Source organism: Homo sapiens, chromosome 7 (assembly GCF_000001405.40).
Source record: "Homo sapiens chromosome 7, GRCh38.p14 Primary Assembly".
Lineage (NCBI taxonomy): Eukaryota > Metazoa > Chordata > Mammalia > Primates > Hominidae > Homo > Homo sapiens.
This window is the reverse complement of record NC_000007.14, coordinates 103,640,933-103,663,241: the sequence shown is the minus strand read 5'-3', so window position 1 is coordinate 103,663,241 and position 22,309 is coordinate 103,640,933. Positions and strand designations below refer to the sequence as shown.

General features: G+C 35.8%; 1 protein-coding gene across 2 annotated transcripts in view, besides 1 other annotated feature; it reads left to right on the top strand.

Annotated features, from left to right (window-relative positions):
* Positions 1–22,309, top strand: part of RELN (reelin) — a 517,870-nt gene that overhangs the window by 326,417 nt on the left and 169,144 nt on the right. For both annotated transcript variants that reach the window (NM_173054.3, NM_005045.4), the window contains exons 12-16: positions 1,715–1,866; positions 9,037–9,149; positions 10,483–10,691; positions 11,453–11,581; positions 12,859–12,968. In NM_173054.3, the coding sequence (NP_774959.1) occupies positions 1,715–1,866; positions 9,037–9,149; positions 10,483–10,691; positions 11,453–11,581; positions 12,859–12,968 (713 nt within the window). The remainder of the gene's footprint in view (positions 1–1,714; positions 1,867–9,036; positions 9,150–10,482; positions 10,692–11,452; positions 11,582–12,858; positions 12,969–22,309) is intronic.
* Positions 1,442–2,641: an enhancer, noted in NCBI's record as "MED14-independent group 3 enhancer chr7:103301048-103302247 (GRCh37/hg19 assembly coordinates)". NCBI's record gives its function as "activates an origin of replication core promoter dependent on BRD2, BRD4, P300/CBP and CDK7 cofactors, and independent of MED14, by STARR-seq in HCT116 cells {active_cell/tissue: HCT116}" and the evidence as "EXISTENCE:reporter gene assay evidence [ECO:0000049][PMID:35650434]".

The following is a 22,309-nucleotide window of genomic DNA, read 5'->3' as shown; positions in this document are numbered from 1 at the left end:
GTAAAGAAACAATGGCAGTGTACTGGGAGAAATTAGATCACAAAGGAAGAATCTAACAGTCTGAGATGGAGTGGTGGGGCTGGGTAGGAGGAGCCAGGAAGTTTGGGAAAGACTGTACAGAAAGGTGTTTGATATTTCAAGGACATCTTAAAGAATGACCCTGAGTTTGTTTGATAGACAAAAAGTTAAGATTCAGAGGGCTGACAGAATGTTTTAGTGACTTTGAATTCACATTGTATGGCAAAAGAGTTTGGGTACAAGGCAGAAGAGACATGGTACAAGGCGAGAGATTGTGCTAGAAATGTTCTTGGGCCAGGCCAAGAAGGACTGCATGTTCTGCATTAAGGAACTTGGAATTTGTCCAGATAGCAATGGGGGAGCCCCTGAAAGACTTTAAACAAAGGAGAGATGTAATCATGTATGCAGTTTAGAAATATCACTGAGTGTCTACTAAATAGAGTCTGAACTCCCCTCTTTCCAAACTCTCCATGGATTTGTTCCACTGTACTATTCAAATGTATTTTTTACTCTCCCCTAACACACATCCTCCACCAAGGTCTATTGATTTCTGCACTGTTAATAGTGTCACCCGTTTCTTTTTTTTTTTTTTTTTTTTGTGACGGAGTCTCGCTGTGTCACCCAGGCTGGAGTGCAGTGGTGCAATCTCAGCTGGCTCACTGCAACCTTTGCCTCCTGGGTTCACACCATTCTCCAGCCTCAGCCTCCCGAGTAGCTGGGACTACAGCCATGCACCACCACACCAAGCTAATTTTTTTGTATTTTTAGTAGAGATGGGGTTTCACCCTGTTAGCCAGGATGGTCTCAATCTCCTGACCTCGTGATCCGCCCACCCCGGCTTCCCAAAGTACTAGGATTACATGTGTGAGCCACCATGCCTGCTGGTCATTCCCATTTCTTAGCCTATAGTCATGTGATTTCGTCAACACATTATGCAACTGTGGTAAGAGCATAGGCTCTGGAGTCACACTGCATGGCTTTGAATACTGTCCTCTTCCTTTGCTAGTCATTCTTAACCTCTCTTCATCTCAGTTTCTTCATCTAAAATTGGGGTAGTAATGGTGACTACCTCATAGGGTCACTGTGAGAATTAAATGACTTTAATGTGTAAAGGCCCTAGAAAAGGATCTGGCCAGGTAGTTAGCACTCAATAAAAGCCAGCTATTTTTATTCTCTTCTACATATCCAATTACCTGTTTGATGAGACCCAGTTTAAATCCCATCTCCTTTTTGAAAACTTGCTAGACTTTTGCCAATTCTTATGACTTTTCATTTTATTACTATTTTCAATAGGTAAAACATCATACAAGTATTTATATTATGAGTCTGTCTTTTATAATTCACTGTTTCCTTAGTTCATTGATTTCCCAACTCAACTATAAGTACTTAAAGAATGAAAAGTATCTCAGTCTGGAGCATGGCTCTGATCACAAGTAGACACACCGTATACAAGATTGATTAAATTCATCCCTCTACAGGAAAACTATAACTGTGAATGTAATGTGTTTAAAGTGTATTCACTACCTAAAATTTGTGTTTAAAGTTTAATCATTGCCTAAATAAAGTGCCATATCTTTATTTCAGAATTATTCATTACTAAGTAAGTAAGTGTCCCTCACTAAAAACTAAATGTTATTCTTTATAAAGATTTGGCTTAATATTCTAACTCTAACTCTTAATCCCCCTTTTTTTTTAGATGGGATGTCTTGGGAGCTGTCATTGGTACAGAATGTGGAACGATAGAATCAGGCTTATCAATGGTCTTCCTCAAAGATGGAGAGAGGAAATTATGCACTCCATCCATGGACACTACCGGTTATGGGAACCTGAGGTTTTACTTTGTGATGGGTAAGTACATTTTCACAAACTTTGTTCACCGTGGGGCAAATCCTAGGCCAGCACCTATTCCTGAGGAAGTAAGATTGTTTGTTGTCAACTACGTAAAATGAAAATTCATGAAACGTGAGCTCTCCAGACAGAGCAGAAGCCTGTGGTACTCCCCCGTGTTTCAGGCCAGCCCCGCTGGAGCCAACCTAAAGAGATCTAGTCATGGCTTGCCATGATGAGGCCTGAAGAAGAAATGCCATAATACCTTCCTTCCACCTCTCCCTCCATGGTCATAGCTGAAAAGACAATGAGAGATAAGCTAAAACAAAGCGATTTCTTTTTCCCAGCTTCCCCCCAAAAATAGTCATCAAGGTGAGCCTTTGTTTTCATGAATATCTCATCATTGCATAACTCTTTTGTAGTAGGAAGCTGAGAAATTTAGGTTAATACTTTAATAATACTCTCTATTTTCTAATATGTTTGCAAACACATTAAGAAAAACATGTGTTCATAAGTTATAGTTTTCTTCAAAGTATTGTAGAGCAAATAAAGATAGTTGGAAAATTACCCAAAAAGGAGTTAGAAGGTTGAACTTTGTGACCTCCAAAGTTAATCCTTTTAGTCAACAAGAGCCACAGTTACATATTCTCTCACTGATGTCATTCCAGAAATGTGAGTAGGTGTCACATGCCTTCTTTGTTGAGTGACTGGAAAAGCACAGGCAATATCTGGAAGTGAAACAGGAAATAAACACTGTCTACCTTTGAACTTACTAGCAAAGATGTCAGTTCATCAGGACAAACAGATCTCCTGAGTCTAACTTCAGCATTGACGATTTATTTCTCTTGTATTCCTCACTTCACCTTTTTGATAATCATACAGCTCAGGGTTGCATGGGAAACCTCAGATTGTATCATGCTCTCAAGCATATTACCTATGTGATGCTAACTCATTTTCCATAATTATGTGTTTGATAACAGAGAAATTGTGCATATAAAATAAAGTAATATAGTCTCACATTTAAGGACAACCTCACCTTCACTCTGAACTGGTTTGTCTATTTAAAGGCCCAGAGCTCATTTTCTTTACATAATTAGAATTCAAACTGGCTCTCATTTTATCAAAAGGGATTCCTGGAAAACCTTAAGCCCTCCTCCAAAAAAGTTGTAATAAACATTTAGTATGCCAGCCTAATTTAAGTTTTTTCCCTTTTCCCCATTTTTGACACAATGTATTTCATACCATATTTTGATTTTATTATAATAAATTAACCATATTTGGTGATTTATATGAGATTAAGTCATCATTATATAAGTTCCTTTATATAATTGTCTTTATATAAGATTAATCTTTAATTTTTTCTGGAACAAAGCATATTATTAATCAATGAATTAAAACAGTATTACTATGATGGGGAATTGATTTGAGTGAGCCCAAAGAAGTACATTATCCCAAGTAAAAGCCTCTTCATTCAATTAAAACAGTAAGGAATGCCTACTGAATATAGAGCCTTAAGCCAGGATATATGGAGAATACAAATGGGGAGAATAATGTCACCTAAATCACAGAGTTGCTGGTCAAATGAGTTAATGTATGAAAAGCACTCAAAACTGCCAAATAAATATTTAGACTCAGTATATCTCTGTTGTTATTGATATAAAAATTAATCTGAGTTCCCACCCACAAGTACCATCTGACTATAAGGTAGAATGCAGTGTGCTGTAATGGAATGAAATGCTATGAGAGTATAGAGGAAGCTGTAATTGCAGTGGAGGGATTAGGGTAAAGCTTCATGAAGGAGATGGCATTTGAACTCACCCTTGAAGGATGGGCATGATTTAAATTTAAGGAAGAGAATTCCAAGCTAAGCCATTATGAAAAAAGGGCACAAGAATAAAGGTATGTCATATGTTTGGGGCTGGGTGATTTTCCCAATATAGATAAGTGGAAGCACGTAAGATGGAACTAGAAAAGCAAATTGGAACCAGAATAGTGTTTTCTTTAATTCCTACTAAGGAGTTTGGATTTTCTTTCTCTAGGTAGTGTGGAGCTATCAGAAAATTCCTGTTAGTTCAGCATTACATTATCACCTGTGTTTTAGAAAAGTAATTCTAGCAGGAGTATGATGGAAGATTGAAATAATCAGAAATTAAAGGGCAAGAGATCAGTTAGGGCAGGGTTGCTAGATTTAGAAAAGAAATATATGTATAAGAGAGTAAGTGTGGAATAGAATATTTTGATGTTGCTTATGTTAAGATCAGGTTTCTGGAATGCCATATGAAGGGAGAAATTCTATTCAGAATTCGAATCAGATTCGAAAATCATCCATATGCAGGTGATAACTGGAGCCACTAGAACTGCTATGTTCTCCCAAGCAGAAGGTAGCATAAGACAAACAATTCTTAGGGAGAACCCTCATCTAGGTATAAGTAGAGGGGAAAATAGTAGTAAAGGAGACTGAGAAAGAACATAAACAGAGGTGGGTGGAAGGTGTCATTGGAGCCTACAGGAGGAAGGAAGACAGTGGTTTGGGGGTAATGGCAGGGAGATGATCAACAGTGTAAGGAATGCCAGAGAGAGAGAGAGAGAGAGATCAACCAGGATAAGGGCTGAGAGGCCACCAGTGACTTTGGAGGGAGTTTCCCCAATGGTGTGGTGCCTGGAAAGCCCAAGTATAATACATGGAGTTAAAAATAAAAATAAAAATGTGTCACTGAAAGAGGAGGATGGCTACTTCAAGAGTTTTATCAGTAGAGAGAAGAAAAGAAATGGTGGCCAGATCTTGAGGGAACAGCAGCACCCAGGAAAGGTGTTTTTAGGATGGGATAGATGGATAGGATAGGGTAGGGTGGCATAGGGTAGAGTAAGGATAGGGTAGGTTATGGTAGGATGGAATATGGTGGGATACGATAGGGCAGGATAGATAGGATAGGACTGGACCTATAGAAAACACTTTAAAACTTTCTTGGCTGATGGGAGATAAAGCCATATGGAAAGAGATTTAGAATGAGATAGTTATAAGTAGCCCCTCACTAAATACAGTACCTTAGGAAAATCAGACTGATTGTTAATCTGGATTACATCACAGTCTCTCCCTCTCAGGCCCTGACTATATGTTCTGCCCTTGGTTCACATCAGTCTGCTGTGAGCATATTTCTGGAAAACTTGCTCAACTTTCAAAGTTCAGTTCAACGTCTATTTTCTTTATTCATATATTGACGTATTCAACACATTCATTGAGGACCAGTACAGAGCACTGTTCTTAGAACCAGAATGCAGTGTATTAGACAAAAAATAACCTAAGAGACATCAACTCATTCGTGTATTTGTTTATTGTTCCTCCAACAAATATTTACTAGGCATCTGCTATATGCCCAGCTCTTTTAGCTCACATTGTACCCTTTTCTCTGAATTTTTACTGCAATTAGGGCAGCACAACACAGTTTACTGCCTATTATTATTCTTTAAAAATGACTTAAAACAATATTTAAAATATTTTAAAACTGACTGCCCCGTTTGTTTTTATTGAAATCTTCCTGCACCTTAATTTCTGTACAAGATGCCTCTGAGTCACACCTTTCCACAAGGTGCCAAAGGCTATGAAGCTGAAGAAGAATCCATATCTCCCTGTAGAAGCTGCTGTCATTGACACTTCACAGAACTATAAATTGCTCCCGGAAGAATCTTTCAGATAAAATCTGTCATCATTTTAAAGTCTTGGCTCCTTTAGGACTTTTTTCTTCTGCCATTCTGGGCTGGGTGTGGCTCTCACGTGTGTTTCAGTTATCTCTGAAGGGCAGATGCAGTTCATGAACTGTTCTTAAGAGAGCAGAGAGAAGTTACAGAAAACAGATGAATGAAATTAGAGAAAACTGATAGTTCAGTGCCTGCGTCATTAGGTATGGTGCACTAAACCCACACTGCCTGTGATTATTCACCTTTTTTGTCCTTTTTTGGTAAATCCTTAATATATAATTATAAATATCCTTATATGTATATATTGTCATATATACGTATTTATATATAATCCTCAATTTAAAAGTTTTGTTTTCTATTAGGAATTTCATTTTCACGTGGATTTTTTCTCCAGAGACCATCAATTACAATGGCTTTAGTAGCTGTATTTATCATAACACTGAAGCATGTAAGGAAATGCTTGAATATATGATATAAATGTCAAAATCATAAGATTTTTCTCCACAGGTTGTTGAACAGTAAACATTATTAGGATGAGATATACATTGTCACCATACTTGACTTCTCCATTCTCAGTTCAAATTACCTAATCCAGTAAATATTTATTATATGCCAAATTACATGTGCCTAACATGTGTAGCATGCCAGATTTCAATGCTTTGCAAAAACCATCCTCCAAGACTTACCTATTGAGTGGTAGTAAAGGTTTGAAGTCAAACAGAATAACATTAAAGACATGCTTTACTTTGGGACTATGGGCACATTATATAACCTTTCTTGGCCTCTGTTTCACTATCAGCAAAGTGGATCTATATACCTGAAAATGTTGTTAAGGGACGAAAAGAGATAATCCTTGTACTTGATTTTACATGGTGCATGGTTCATAGTAAGTATCTAATGAAAAGTAGGCATTTTTACCCTTATGTTATTATTAATAATACTGAAGGAGTCTGGCTCCAAAAGAAACCCTGATCCATACAGTACCAACCACCATTTGCAACATCAACTCTTTGTCAAAACAAAAACCCACAAATTTCCTTGGGAATAAACAAAATTATTGGGCGATTTTCTCACAAATGACTCAAACATAAAAACAGTGTGTCATGAGCTAGAAAATTTGATCTACCTGTAAAACCTTTCAGACCATGGCTTCACCCTGTAACTCACTGCTATCCCATAAACTGAGCTGTTCTAGGAGCACACCAATGGGGTGAGAATGTGTGCTAAACTCTCTCCTTCCCTGGCTCAGCTAGAAACTCTAGTAACAGGCTCACCCCCAGATTCCTACAGCTGTCTCCAGTTTGTCTTAAAGGGCTTAGTTTTCAAGTCAGACACTAGCTTTTCTGCCATCAAGCCAACTTCCTGGGTTGCTTCCAACTGATGTATACTCAGATATGCCAAATAATTTTAGAATTCACCTAGGACAATTTAGTTAGGAATATTTGCACAACATAATTCCAATAGTGTATTTTCAAAGCCAAATATAAATCATCTGTTATTTAAATTATTAATTTAGGTCATCAAAAGTTGTTGCATTGCGGGAGATGAAATAAGATGTGTCATATAGAGAAGACACCTGGCCAATCAGAATGGGCCTCATAGGTGACCTTAATGAGGTTACTGCAGTCAACTGTACAGGTCTCAGGTTTATAGATTCAGAAAATGAGTTTTCTTAATTACTCCAGAGCTGACAAATTGGAGACTGACTCATGCTCTAAGCTCAGAGGAGGCTTATGAACAAATCATAATTCTCATCAATAGACTATGGAAATTTAACTGCTAAGCATGAGGGAATAATCAATGTTTATGGGATCAAAAAAGATATATATCACCCAGTAATTTTAATGGCAGCGGTTCCAGAACTATGATAGCCTGATGCATCCTGTTCCACTGTGGGACACATTTTGCAAATGAATCCTCAAGATTTGCCTTGGTCATTAAGGACTTCTCTATTCCTACCCAGTGTATGGACATCCTATGAAAGTCTTGCCCTCTGATATCTACTTTTGTCTAATATTCCTTCTATTGTTCATGAAGTTTATTGTACTAATTCAGTTCTAGCTTTCCCGCTTAATATCACATATCAGTCATTTCTCCCCAAGATCAGACCCAATTACTCAGGTCGAGTTTGACCCAGGCATTTACAAACAATTGACACTTTCTTCTTAGTTTATTTAATATCAAATGCTAAGTCTCAGCCATTATTTGTGTATTTTACTAGATTAACTCTCAGAGGGTAGTTTTATTCTAGAATGTTGATGTTGTTTTACTGTCACCAGAGAGTATTAGCAACAGCAATTGCCTGTAGATAAAAATTAACACTGATGGTGGTTGATTTAGGAACTGAAGGAATTTTAGAAAGACAGTAATAAAAGAAAAAGAAGTTAGTGTTATAAATATGGGGACTTAGGGATAGAATATTTGCCAGGAAATACATATACATGCCCATAGTCCCAGCTGTTTTGGTTGGTACTATTATGAAGGATAATGGTGGCTTAAGAGAGGCTTCTAGTTAGACATGTCATCCTTTAATATTCAGGTTATACAGACAGTTAATAGAAGCAAACAGTAGCAAGAATTGTTGACTGGGACTAGGCGTGGTGGCTCATGCCTACAGTCTTAATGCTTTAGAAGACAAAGGTAGGAGGATTGCTTGAGCCCAGGAGTTCAAGACCAGCCTGTGCAACATAGGGAGACCCCGTCTCTACAAAATAAAATATTTTAAAAAGAATTATTGATGGAATGCAGTTATGAAAATAATAGGTTAGAAGACATACATGTACCCCTGGCTCTTCCACTAGTTAGTTACATGATCTTAGCTTCAAGTACCTGCTCTGTCATTCAGTACCATCATCAAGATGATCTTAATTGCTCTTCAGCTTCAATGGCATATTGTTTTCCATGACTATAAAGTAGAGTAATAGAGAATAAAATACTCTATGTACCTTCTAACAATCAAATGAGGTACCAAATATAAAAATGAAAAATGTAAAACAAATTGCATTTAAAGTACAAATAATATGCTAAAATATTAAAGATACTATGTGCAACAGTTTGACTAACACTACTTCAGAATTCCTTGATGCAGGAAGTCATCACCCTTGTTTTAAAACCATAACCAACAGGTTCTGAACTTTGGTCATAAAAACCTCAAATTAAGGAAATAACAGTTTATTAAAAAGCAGAACACATCTTTTTAATGTGGGTTAGAACATGGACGTGTAGTTGCTGCTCAAAGTAGACAATTATTTGAGTAATCTCATGAAGCAAATAGCTACTTTGGCCTTCACAAATGTCAAGTCTTTGATCTTTAGCATGGCCTACTTGAACTATCGTTATAAATTATTTCCTTGAGTCTGTTTACCTTTGTTTAGGGTTATTCTTAAGTGACATCTGGGTACTATAATGATTTTTCATTCTGAAATTTAACACTATATTTGATATGTTTATGGATGCTAGTTGGTACTAGCAACTTAAAATTTTTGTTTTGTGCAGGAGGAATTTGTGACCCTGGAAATTCTCATGAAAATGACATAATCCTGTATGCAAAAATTGAAGGAAGAAAAGAGCATATAACACTGGATACCCTTTCCTATTCCTCATATAAGGTACACATGCCAGTCTGTGTGGCAAATAGACCACCTCAGACCACCCTGGACAAGCCCAAGTCAAAACCACAAAGACCACTCCAGATGCAGAAGATACATCCCTGTTCTGACAGGCCAGAGGTCGCCAGGTTTCTTTAAAAGTGAAATAGACATTTTAACCTTCATATTTTTTCCTAATACAAATGAAAAATGAGTTATCAGGAAGGAAGAGTGAATTACAGTCCATCAGACAGTAAGGCAGAACCCAATACTCTGACAGTTATTCTTGTCCCCAAGAAAGCCCTAAATGTAACTCTAATTATGCCCCCTCATGCACTTGCTGTCAGTCATAATGAGTATTTGTCCAGCATTTTGAGATCTCCTGGGTAGAAGACACTGTAGAAGCACAGGTTATCTTTGCTTTTTTCTTTGCTAACTAGAGCTACCGATTGAGGTTGGCCTTTTTTCTTTACCCTTTGCATATAGAACAGGTGTTAGCTCTGGTTATTTGCAAGCATCTTCAAAATTATGTGAGATACTCGTCATAAAGTGTAAAATTATTTTTTGTAAAAGTAGATTTGTTTGTGCTGAGGCCACACCCACATACTCATTATTAGTTAGTCTTTTCTTTGCACTGATGGTACCCTAAGTACTTTTAAAAGCTTAAATGCAGCTAACATCTAGCATTTCAGGGTTTAAGTTAGAAAGACAAAACAAACATCAAGGTTAGAATGGGAAACAACCAGAGTGAATATCCAGCACATTCCACATGCAAGGGTAACCCAAGTTATACCATTTGGGATTTCATAAAAGACGATATTTCCAGCAGTGGCAAGGTAGAACTATACCTGCCGTGGTCATCTTCATGCCTCATATCAAATCAGCTTTGTGAGTTATAATGCATTGACTCATTGGCTCTGGTTGTTTCTGTCCTATTTTCACAATACTAGTTTGGAAAGCCCTTAGCTTGATACCAATCCACTTTCAAAGAGGACTGATGATAAAGTATAAATGTCAAGTTGCCTTTGTCTTGTGCTAATTAAATAAAATGGATACACATGCTTAGATAACTCTTAAAGACCTTATATCAGTTTATCTTCAGTTAGGGAGAGCCTGATCAAACACACGCAGAGACCCCCACCTCGTGCACAGGAAGAATTCTGAGTCACTAAATCGAATGCTCCTTGAGGATAGCATCTTCTTCATGAAATAACAAATGCAACACAAAGGACGTGTCCTGGTGCTTAATAAATGGCAGTTATGTACATAGCGTTCATTAGGTCAAATCTAGGAGAATTTACATGGACTAGCCTAGAAAGGATTTTGAGTGATTCTGGTCTCCTTTGTTTGAAAGGTTCCGTCTTTGGTTTCTGTGGTCATCAATCCTGAACTTCAGACTCCTGCTACCAAATTTTGTCTCAGGCAAAAGAACCATCAAGGACATAATAGGAATGTCTGGGCTGTAGACTTTTTCCATGTCTTGCCTGTTCTCCCTTCTACAATGTCTCACATGATACAGTTTTCCATCAATCTGGGATGTGGAACGCATCAGCCTGGTAACAGGTAGGAAGCCCTATTTTGTAAGTGTGCAAAACTAAAAATGAGTTTGCAGATTTGGCTATTAAATAAGAGGTAGTTTCTAGGTAGAGTTTTAACTGGATTTTAAGTAAAATACTCATTGATGAAATAACACACTTTTGCCAAATGAAAAGTTCTTCAATTAATATGAGGGGTATGATTGGATAGATTTCAAGTAGGAATGGCTTCATTCTAAGAGCTTGATCTTAGGTATCAGAGGTGTTTGCATGTGCTGTGGCAACCATCCATTACAACAGATTGCTAAGAGAGAAAAAAAAAAAAAAGCAACTGAAAAAAAGCTTGACCTCCTGTCGGCTGGTGACCTGCTAATAATAAGCATGGAAATCAATTAGCATGTCAAGAGCTATGACTTCTCAGTTTCACTTGCCCAAGTGTTGCTCATATTTTTTCTAGGAATTTTGTCGGTGTCACATTCACAGGATGAAGTGACAGTGTGAGACATGGTAATTGCCTTGCCACCTATCAAACTCAAGAACACAAACTCAAGTTACCATTTGTTGTCTTTGAAACATAGTTTGTTTATAGCAGTAATTTAACTGATTGCCCTTTGAAAGCTGGTCAGACTTTAGTGAAAGAGAAAACAATCATTTAGGAAACAGCATCTTTAAAAAATTTTACACTGTTTTTACAGTTGTTTAATGTACTTAACCAGAGTTGAAAATTTCATTTGATTTGTTATCTTTACCCTCCCCACCTTTTGTGTGTGCTTGTTCTGGTTTTATTAGTGTCAGCTTGGAATTTTCTACCAACCATGGGCGCTCCTGGTCCCTCCTTCACACTGAATGCTTACCTGAGATCTGTGCTGGACCCCACCTCCCCCACAGCACTGTCTACTCCTCTGAAAACTACAGTGGGTGAGTACATTCTCTCTGAGATATTGAAATACTTGAATCCATGTTGCAGAATAAAAATCAATGAGTTATCCTGAAATTAGCATTTTTGTCATAATAGGTAAGAAACCTAACCTCTTTAAAAGTGGTCTTGTAAAAAAGAAAGAAAGAAAGATAGTATCTTTGGTAAACTGGATGCAAGATTACAATGAACATTTGTAAGGCCATTCATTCTTTATGTACTTGACTTATATTTTGGACTGCATGAACTTAAATTCTATATGGCAGTTCTGTGGTTATTGCCACGCTACTTATAGAGAAATGCAGCATAGAAAAAATGGAAGAAAGTTAAATTTTGAAATTGGACCTGGATTCCATTCTGTGTAATCATATTTACTCTCCCTGACTTTCCACTTTTTTCTGTATAATTAAAGATTTAATATACCTCATTGGGGGCTATTAGGAGAATTAAAGATGATTATATAAAATACTTGCCACATTACAGAATAAGCATTATGAGAATAGTAAAAATATTTGCAAGAATGGCAAAATTAAGTTGGGAATTATTTTCTTTGTTATCCCCTTTTAAATGTGTGTAGGGCTAGGGGAGAACAAAAAATAAAAATAATTGATGCTAATTAGCAGTACATCTCTGCACAGATGCCTAGCATAAGATAATATCTAAGGTCTGAGCACTGATGGAAAAATTTCTTAAAAGAATATATAAAAACTAAATATCCCTCACTATTAAGAATAAATTGGCTAGTTATGATGACTCACACCTGTAATCCCAGCACTTTGGGAGGCCAAGGTAAGGGGATTTCTTGAGGTCAGAAGTTTGAGACCAGTGTGGGCAACATAGTATGAGACCTTGTCTCTACAGATATAAAAATTAGCTGGGTGTGGTAGTATGCTTCTGTAGTCCTACCTACTCAGGAGGCTGAGGCAGGAGCATAGCTTGAGCCCAGGATTTTGAGGCTGCAGTGAGCTATGATTGTGCCACTGCACTCCAGCCTGGACAACAGAGCAAGACCCTGTCTCTAACAATAAATTAAAGCTTTAAAAATGTTTAAGTAATATAAAATAACAAATCCATTGCTCTGGCATACCGTGGATGTTTTTACAAATTGTATGTCTGTTTTAAAGATACAAACAAATTCCACAAGTGAATTTAAAGAGTTTATTGGTAAACTTTAGTGCTTTTCCAAGCACACAGAAGCTAGAACATGAAAACCATGTAAAATAGATTCTAAAGATATGAACATAGTTGTGAAGATGGTTTTGTGCTAAATTTCTTGCAGGTGGAACCGAATAACAATTCCCCTTCCTAACGCAGCACTAACCCGGAACACCAGGATTCGCTGGAGACAAACAGGACCAATCCTTGGAAACATGTGGGCAATTGATAATGGTTAGTGTTTATGCCTGTCATAATCACATGCCATTGATGTAGAGTCTTCCTGTGCTTTTGTTCGTCAGCACAGACTTAATCACATTTCTAAGTCATGGTCTTGCAATTCATTAAACACCCTTTCTTCCATTTCTCCTTTGCATTCTGTTAGAAGCCTAGGGATGTGCAATCAGGAAAAAAAAAAAAAAAGCCAGTGAAGTCAGCAGTATTAGATGCTAGAATGTTTCACATACATAAATAAAAAATGCATAAAACCTTGAAACTGAAATTCACAGTTGATGACAAGGGATATCCTAACATTTTCTTTGAATGTTGTATAAAATTAACATAAATATTGATCATACTGCATGTATTAAAATAAGACCCATTCTTCTCTTAGTAACTACCACAACATCTGGAATGCTTTTCTTTTACATGCAGACAACACACAGAAGGAAACATCATCTCTAAAAAAAGGAGGTGAAACTTTTACCTCCTTTTCAGAAAATAGTATAGAAAGAAAACTTAGATATATATCTTTTTAAATCTTTTATCTTTCATTTTCAAGTGAATTTTTGGAATTTTGCATCATTTTAAAGTCGATACCACTTATGACAATGACAGAAGATATTTTAAGCTCTTGGGTTGCATGTCTGTACATTTCTTATACTTGTTATTAATCACCAACTCTTTGGTTTTTGTCTTTCTATTTTTATTTTTATTTTTAAGGATTCAGTGGGTACAAATGTAGTTTTGTATATGAATATATTGCATAGTGGTGAAGTCTGGACTTTTAGTGTAACTATCACCCAAATAGAGTACAACGTAATTTATCATCCCTCACCCCCCTTCCATCCTCCCACCTTTCTGAGTCTCCAGTGCCTGTTATTCTACTGTCTATGTCCATGTGTACACATTATTTAGCTCCCGCTTATAAGTGAGAGCATGTGGTCTACAACTTTCTAAGTAATATCACTTAGGATAATGGCCTCCAGTTCCAGCTATGTTGTAGCAAAAGACACGATTTCATTCTTTTTCATGGCTGAGTAGTATTCCATGGTGTGTTTGTGTGTGTGACATACTCTTTAATCATCCATTAATGAACATTTTAGTGGATTCCATGACTTTACTATTATGAACAGTGCTGCAATAAACATACAAGTAAAGGTTTCCCTTTAATATACTGGTTTCTTTTTCTTTGGGTAGATACTCAGTAGTGAGGTTGCTGGATCAAATGGTAGTTCTAGTTTTCATTTTTTGAGAGATATCTATACTGTTTTCCAGAGGTTTTACTAATTTAAATTCCCACCAAAAGTGTCTAAGAGTTTCCTTTTCCCCCACGTCCTCACCAGTATCTGTTATTTTTTTACTTTTTAATGATACCCATTCTGATTGGAGTAAGATGGTATCTCATTGTGGTTTTAATGTGCATTTCTCTGATAATTAGTGATGCTTAGCATTTTATATACCTGTTGGTCATTTGTATGTCTTCTTTTGAAAACTGTTTGCTCATGTCCTTTGCCAACTTTTTAATGGAACTATACGTTTTTTCTTGTCAAGGTATTTGAGTTCACTGTTAATTCTGGATATTAGTCCCTTCTCAGATGCATAGTTTGCAGATATTTTCTCCCAATCTGTAGGTTGTCTGTTCACTGTGTTGATTATTTCTTTTACTGTGCAGAAACTTTGGGCTTAATTGAAGCCCCTTTGTCTTTTTGTTTTTGTTTTTGTTGTCTGTGCTTTTGAGCTATTAGTCATTAATTCTTTGCCTAGGCAAGTGTTCAGGAGTTTTTCCTAGATTTTCTATATTAATCCATTCTTGCACTGCTATAAAGAACTACCTGAGACTGGGTCATTTATAAAGAAAAGAGATTTAGTTGTCTCACAGTTCCATGGGCTGTACAGAAAGCATGGCTAGGAGGTCTCAGGAAACTTACAATCATGGCAGAAGGCCAAAGGGAAGCAGGCACGTTTTACATGGCCAGAGAAGGAGGAAGAGAGAGTGAAGGGGGAGGTGCTATATACTTTTAAACAAACAAATCTTGTTAGAACTCACTATCACAAGAACAGCAAGGGGGAAATCCACCCCCATGATCCAGTCACCTCCCACCAGGCCCCTCCTCCAATATTGGGGACTACAATTTGACATGAGATTTGGGCAGGGACACAAATCCAAACCATATCAGTTTTCTTCTAGGATTTTTATAGTTTCATATCTTACATTTAAGTATTTATTCCATCTGAGTTAATTTTTGTGTATGGTAAGAGATATGGGTCCAGTTTCATTCTTCTGCAAATGGCCATCCAATTTTCCCAGCACCATTTATTGAATAGGGTGTTCTTTCCCTAGTGTATGTTTTTTTGAATATTGTTTAAGATCAGTTGGCTGTCTGTAGATGGCATTATTCTGGGCTCTCTATTCTGTTCCATTGATGTATATGTCTATTTTTATACCAGTACCATGCAGTTTTGTTTACTATAGTCTTGTAGTATAATTTGAAGTGAGGTAATGTGATGCCTCCAGCTTTGTTCTTTTTGCTTAGGATTGCTTTGGCTATTCACTTTCTTTTGGTTCCATATGAATTTTAGGATTGTTTTTTTCTAATTATGTGAAAAATGACATTAGTATTCTGATAGGATTTGCATTGAAGCTGTAGATTACTTTGGGCAGTGTGATCATTTTAATCATATTGGTTCTTCTAATCCATGAGTATAGGATGTTTCTCCATTTGTTTTTGTCCTACAGTTTTTTTTTTTTCATCAGTGTTTCATAGTTTCTCTTGTAGAGATCATTCACCACCTTGGGTAAATGTATTCCTAGGTATTTTGTTTGTAGCTATTGTAAATGGGATTGACGTCTTGATTTTATCCTCCGTTTATTATCGTTATATATAAATGTTCCTGATTTTTGTACATTGATTTTATATCCTGAATCTTTACTGAAGTCATTTATCAAATCTAGGAGTCTTTGAGAGAATTTTTTAGGATTTTTTAGGTATAAGATCATATCATAACCAAACGGAGATAATTTGACTTTATATTTTCAAATTTGGGTGCCTTTTATTTCTTTGTCTTGCCTGATTGCTCTAGATAGTACTTGCATTACTATATTGAATAGGAGTGGTGAAAGTGGGCATCCTCATCATGTTCCAGTTCTTAGAGGGAGTGCTTTGACTTTTTCCCCATTCCATATTATGTTGGCTTTGGGTTTGTCATATACGGCCTTTATTATTTTGAGGTATGTTCTATCTACACCTAGTTTGTTGAGGGTTTTTATTGTGAAAGGATGCTGAATTTTATCAAATGCTTTTCTGCATCTATTAAGATGATTTGCATAGGTTGAGCCATCCTTGCATCCCTGGAATGAAACCCACTTGATCATGTTGTTTAGATGTGCTGTTGGATTCAGTTTGCTAATATTTTGTTAAGGATTTTTGCATCTATGTTCATAAGGGATATTGATCTGCAGTTTTCCTTTTTTGTTGTGTCCTTGCCTGGCTTTGGTATCAGGTTTATACTGACTTCATAGAATGAGTTATGAAGGATTCCCTCCTCAGTTTTTGGAACAGTTTTAGCAGGATTGGTACAAGATTTTCTTTGTGCATCTTGCAGAATTCAGCTGTGAATTAGTCTCGTCCTGAGAGCTTTTATTTGTTGGGAGATTTTTTATTACTGATTCAGTGTCACTACTTGTTATTTTTCTTTTCCGGATTTCTATTTCTTCCTGCTTCAATCTTAGGAGGAGGTATGTTTCCAGGAATGCATCCATTTTCTCTAGGTTTTCTGGATTGTGCACATAAAGATGTTTACAGTAATCACTGATTATCTCCTGTATTTTTGTGGTAGCAGTTGTAATGTCTCCTTTTTCATTTTTTATTCTGCTTATTTGAATATTCTCTCTTCTCTTCTTGGTTAGTCTAGCTAGTGATTGGTCAACTTGGTTCACCTTTTAAAAGAACAACTTTTTCATATGGTTGATTCTTTGAATTTTTTTTGATCTCTATTTCATTTAGTTCTGCTCTGATCTTCATTATTTATTTTCTTCTGATAGCTTTGGATTTGGTTCATTCTTGTTTTTCTAGTTCCCTGAGGTGCAATATTATGTTGTTACTTTGTGATCTATTTTTTATGTAGGAATTTAAGGTTATAGCCTTCTCTCTTAGCACTGCTTTTGCTATATCTTAGAAGTTTTGTTATGTCTCTATTTTCACTCATTTCAAAATTTTTTTTAATTTCTGTGTTCATTTTGTCATTAACTCAAAGATCATTCAGGAGCAGGTTGTTTAATTTTCATGTATTTGTGTAATTTAAGAGTTTCCCTTAGAATTAATTTCTAGTTTTATTCTACTGTCATTTGAGAAGGTATTTGATATGATTTTGATTTCTTAAAATTTATTGAGACTTGTGTTGTGGCCTAACATATGGCCTGTCCTGGAGAATCTTTCATGCACTCATGAGAAAAATGTATATTCTGTGGTTGTTTGGTAGAATATTCTGTAAATGTCTGTTAGGTTCATTTGTCCTAAAGTCCAATTTAAGTCCAGTGTTTATTTGTTGAATTTCTGTCTCAGTGATCTGTATGGTGCTGTCAGTGGCATGTTGAAGTCTCTTACTATTATTGTATATATTGCACCCCATCTATTTTCTTAGGTCTAGTAGTATTTGTTCTGTGAATCTGTACGTTCCAGTGTTGGGTGCATATGTATTTAGGATTGCTACTATATCTTCTTGTTGAATTGATCCTTTTATCATTTTATAATGTTTGTCTTATTTTTTTCTTGTTGATTTAAAGTCTGTTTTATCTTAGATAAGTATAGCTGTTTCTGTTCATTTTTGGTTTCTGTTTGTTTGGAATATGTTTTTCCATCCCTTTATCTTTAGTCTGTAAGTGTCTTTACCAGTTAGGTGGGATTTTTTGTAAGCAGTATATGGTTGGATTGTGTTTTTTAATCCATTCTGCCAATCTGTATCTTTTAAATGGAGAATTTAATCCATTTCTGTTCAAGAACTATATTGACATGTGAGTTTTTATTCCTGTTATAATGTTAGTTGTTATCTTGTTGCTTTGCAGTCTCATTAGTGTAAATGTTTTATAAGACCTGTGAGTTTTATACTGTCATTTGTTTTTAGGATGGTGAGTATTGATCTTTAATTTCTATGTTTAGAACTCCCTTAGCATTTCTTGTGGGATTGGTCTAGTGGTAATGAATTCCCTTAGCATTTGCTTGCCTGGGAAAGACTATTTCTTCTTCATTTATGAAGCTTAATTCTAATAGAATACAAAATTCCTGGTTAATAGTTTTTTTCTTTAGAAACCTAAAAATAGGATCCCAATCTCTTCTGGCTTATAAGGTTTCTATTAAGAATTCCACTGTTAGTCTGATGGAATTTTCTTTACAGATAATTAGATATTTTTCCCATGCTAATCTTAAGATTTTTTCCTTCACACTGTCTCTAGATAGTCTGATGACTATATAACTTGGTGACATCCTTACAATGTATTTTTCTGGAGTTCTGTGAGCCTCTTAAATCTGGATGTCTAAATCTTTAGCAAGTCTTTAGGGATGTTTTCCTCAATTACTTCCTCAAATAGACTTTCCAGAGTTTTTGCTTTTCTTCTCCCTCGGTAATACCTTTGACTCATAGGTTTGGACATTTTACATAATCTCTTATTTCTCAAAGTCTTTGTTCATTTTTAAAATTCTTGTTCTTTCTTTCAGTCTGACTGTGTTAGCTTGAAAAACCTGTATTCGAGCTCTGAGATTATTTCTTCTGCTTGGTCTAGTCTATTGTTAAAACTTTCAACTATGTTTTGTAATTCCTTCAATGAATTTTTCATTTCTAAAAGTTTTGTTTGGGGTTTGGGTTTTCTAAAAAAAAAAAAAAAGACATACTTATATCTTTGGTAAATTTGTCATTCATATCCTGAATTGATTGTCTGATGTTTTTGTGTTAGCTTTTACCTTTCTCTTGGATCTCATTGAGATTATTTAAAATTAATATTTTGAATTCTTTATCTGGTATTTCAAGGATTTCATTTTGGTTAGGATCCATTTTACAGAATTAGTATGATTTTTTAACACTCTGTTTTTGCATGCTTCCAGAATTGTTCTGCTGCTTCCTTCTCATCTCAAGAAACTATCTCATTATTTTTTTTAATTTACTTTCATTTGGATGGAATTTTTTTTCTCTTGAGGATGTGACTATAATGTATGCTGTGTAGGGTCATTTGGCCTTGGTTCTTGAGCATTCAGTGGCAAAGACTCTCTATGAGTTCATTGGTTATAGATATCCTTAGTGTAGTGGCTTTATCAAATGCTGATTGTAGTAGTGATGTACTGGGCATGAAGAGGCAATAATTTTCAACCTACTCTTTTTAAATGTTTTTGGTAGTCAGGCATGGCACATGCCTGTATTCCCAGCTACTCAGGAAGCAGAAGCAAAAGGATCACTTGATTTCAGGAGTTTGTGGCTACTGTGTACTATGATCTCATCTATGTATTCTAATAGAATACAGAATTCATGGTTAACAGTTTTTTTCTTTAGAAACCTAAAAATAGGATCCCAATCTCTTCTGGCTTATAAGGTTTCTAACAAGAATTCCACTGTTAGTCTGATGGAATTTTCTTTACAGATAATTAGACATTTTTCTCATGCTAATCTTTTTTTTAATACTTTAAGTTTTAGGGTACATGTGCACAATGTGCAGGTTAGTTAAGATTAGCTATGAATAGCTGCTGTACTCCAGGACAACATAGCAAGATCTCATCTCCCCAAAGACCATGGAAGCTGAGAGTCCAAAGAAGGAGGCTGACAAATTCAGTTTCTTAGGAAGACACCCTTAATAAGGACTTACAAACAGAAGCTGTAGTTTTGGGAAGCCATGATACAAGATGGTGAATCCCTGCCTGATTGTTCGGTTTCTTATTTTAATTACAGGTAGATTAATAGCATTCCTATTTTCAGAGAGCATATAAGTTGGCTGAAGGCTTATACTACAAGTAAGTAGAAAGGGAGAAAGAGAGGAGAAGGGACAAAATGTCAATAGCTAAGCAAATTTAGCATAGCCACTGATTTGAGGTCAATTTTATAAAATGGAGAAAATGCACACCCTTGTTTAATGTTGATTTTCCATGTCTTAATCAGGTCTGTTATTTTTTAATAATTTAGACATTGAGAAATGACCAAATTCTTGAAACTGGAGAAAAACTTTAGACAAGATAATTTGCTGATGAACCAATATGAATTATTTCCCAATATTTATCCAAAAAGCAGACGAATGGAAAGCCCACCCTCAAAGACCTTATGAGTTATATGGATATAAACATAGTGAATTTGCAAAAACATCTAAAGATGAAGGGGTTAAAATGGAGTTTTTTCATTGGTAGAACATTTTGCGTAGCATTTTAAGTATTGCACCTGTTCATTAGCTCTAGGGAGTAGGCATTTGCCTCTAGATAGCAGAATACGAGTGACTTTTTCTTGCTGTCACACTTTTTAAGGATTCTATAATGAACCTTTATTACTTTGATAATCATCAAAGTGGTTTAGAAACCAATAATGAAAAAGTATATGAGAAAATTAAGAGTGCAATGAAGCACATGTAAGCCTATGAAAAGAATGTTTCAATTTCCTAAAGAAGGCTGTTACAACACAATTTTAGTTCAGAAAGTGTTCACTACACATCCTCTGAGTTCCCATGCTTTGAGTGGAATCATGCTTTGAGTAGAATGGGAAAGGGTAAAGATATATGGAATGCACATGGTTAGCAAGGTATGTTGAATGCAAAACCTGGTGCAGAATCTCTTTAATTCTGTTATCATTCTATGTGAGGTTTTCACAGAAACAGGACCCACTCTTTGGCTTCTTTTACAAGGGAAGAAAAGGACACATACTCCTTCCCAAGAGAAATTTGTGCTTACTTGCCAAAAAAAAAAAAAAAAAACACTATGAAATCTCTCCCATTTCACTATGTAATTCTAGAATTATGTCACAGAAAAAAATAGAGAAAAACATATCAATATCATAATTCTGTTAGGTATAGTCTTCCTTCATGGCAGAGTCAACTTCTGCTAGTGTGTAAAGAAATTACTTTGGAAATCACCCTGAAAATCTTAGCCAAATGGAAAGTCCTAAAGCAAAGTACATTTCTTGTCATTTTAAAAATTTTTTCAACTTGACTATATTACCGATAATAGTGAAGAAAGCTATTCTATCCTATTCACACTCTTAGGAAAAAAGAAGCCTGTTATGAGTCCTAATGGCTTCATAATTAGCAGGAAGAGATGACAATAAAATTCTTAATTGCAACTTTTTTCATTGACTTGGAATGTCTTAATTTATTGTTGAATTTTTCATGATGGAGGCTTTTTGAACTATGACATGGGTGCCCTATCTCTTAGAGCATATCTTCCTTCAGCCATAAAATCAAGTGTGCTGGGAAAACAATCCATATGCTTTTCCAGGCTGAAGAAGAATGGAGCCAGCCCCTTTCTTGTTCCTTGGTGCACAGTGGAGCACATCAAAGCAACAGGACAGGAGGGTGTCAAGGAATACTTGACCTCAGTATGGTGCTGATTATAACCATGTAGTGCTGGGTACCATGCTAAGCATAATATGTTTCTTTAATTATTTCCTCCAAGGAGTATTATTATCCCACTTTAAGGAATAGGAATATTGAGGGTTAGACAGGATAAATTACTTATCAGAATTTCCTGAGTGAAGCCAGAATTTGAAGCCAGGATTATCTGACACCTGAAACAATATCTTTAATGACTCAGCCTGCTATCTAATCTCTTCCTAAACCAGCAGTTTCCATCACCAAGATCTTTCCATTGGCCTACAATTCATTGAATTTGAATTACTCCACCTGTTAATTGGCAGGTATTAAGTGCTTATAGGAGCATAGGCTACAGGAAAGTTTATTTTACAATAAAATTATGTAAATACTTTGAAATGACTACAGGACAGAGAAGAAAATGACAACAGATTATAAATTTGCTTATGCCTAAAAAATGGAACACATGAGGTTTTATTGCATCTTGAATTTCTCATTAGTTTAATACCACTTTTACACCATTTGGTATATTGTTAATTTTGCTGATTAACAAAAGAATTAATAATATTTAAGTGTATTGGAGTCTGAGTATCTCAGAACCGACCATTCAACAATCAGTAGCCTTTAGGCTCAACAACATATTCTTAACTCCTCATTTCCAGGAAGGATAGATTAATATTTAGAAATATATGTAACGGTCATCCACAGTGTTATAGATTTTCCCCTGATAGAAATGAAAATTATGGGGTGACTTCTCCATATTGTGATATATCAGATTGGTCCTTTTTAAATATTTTTTTTCTAC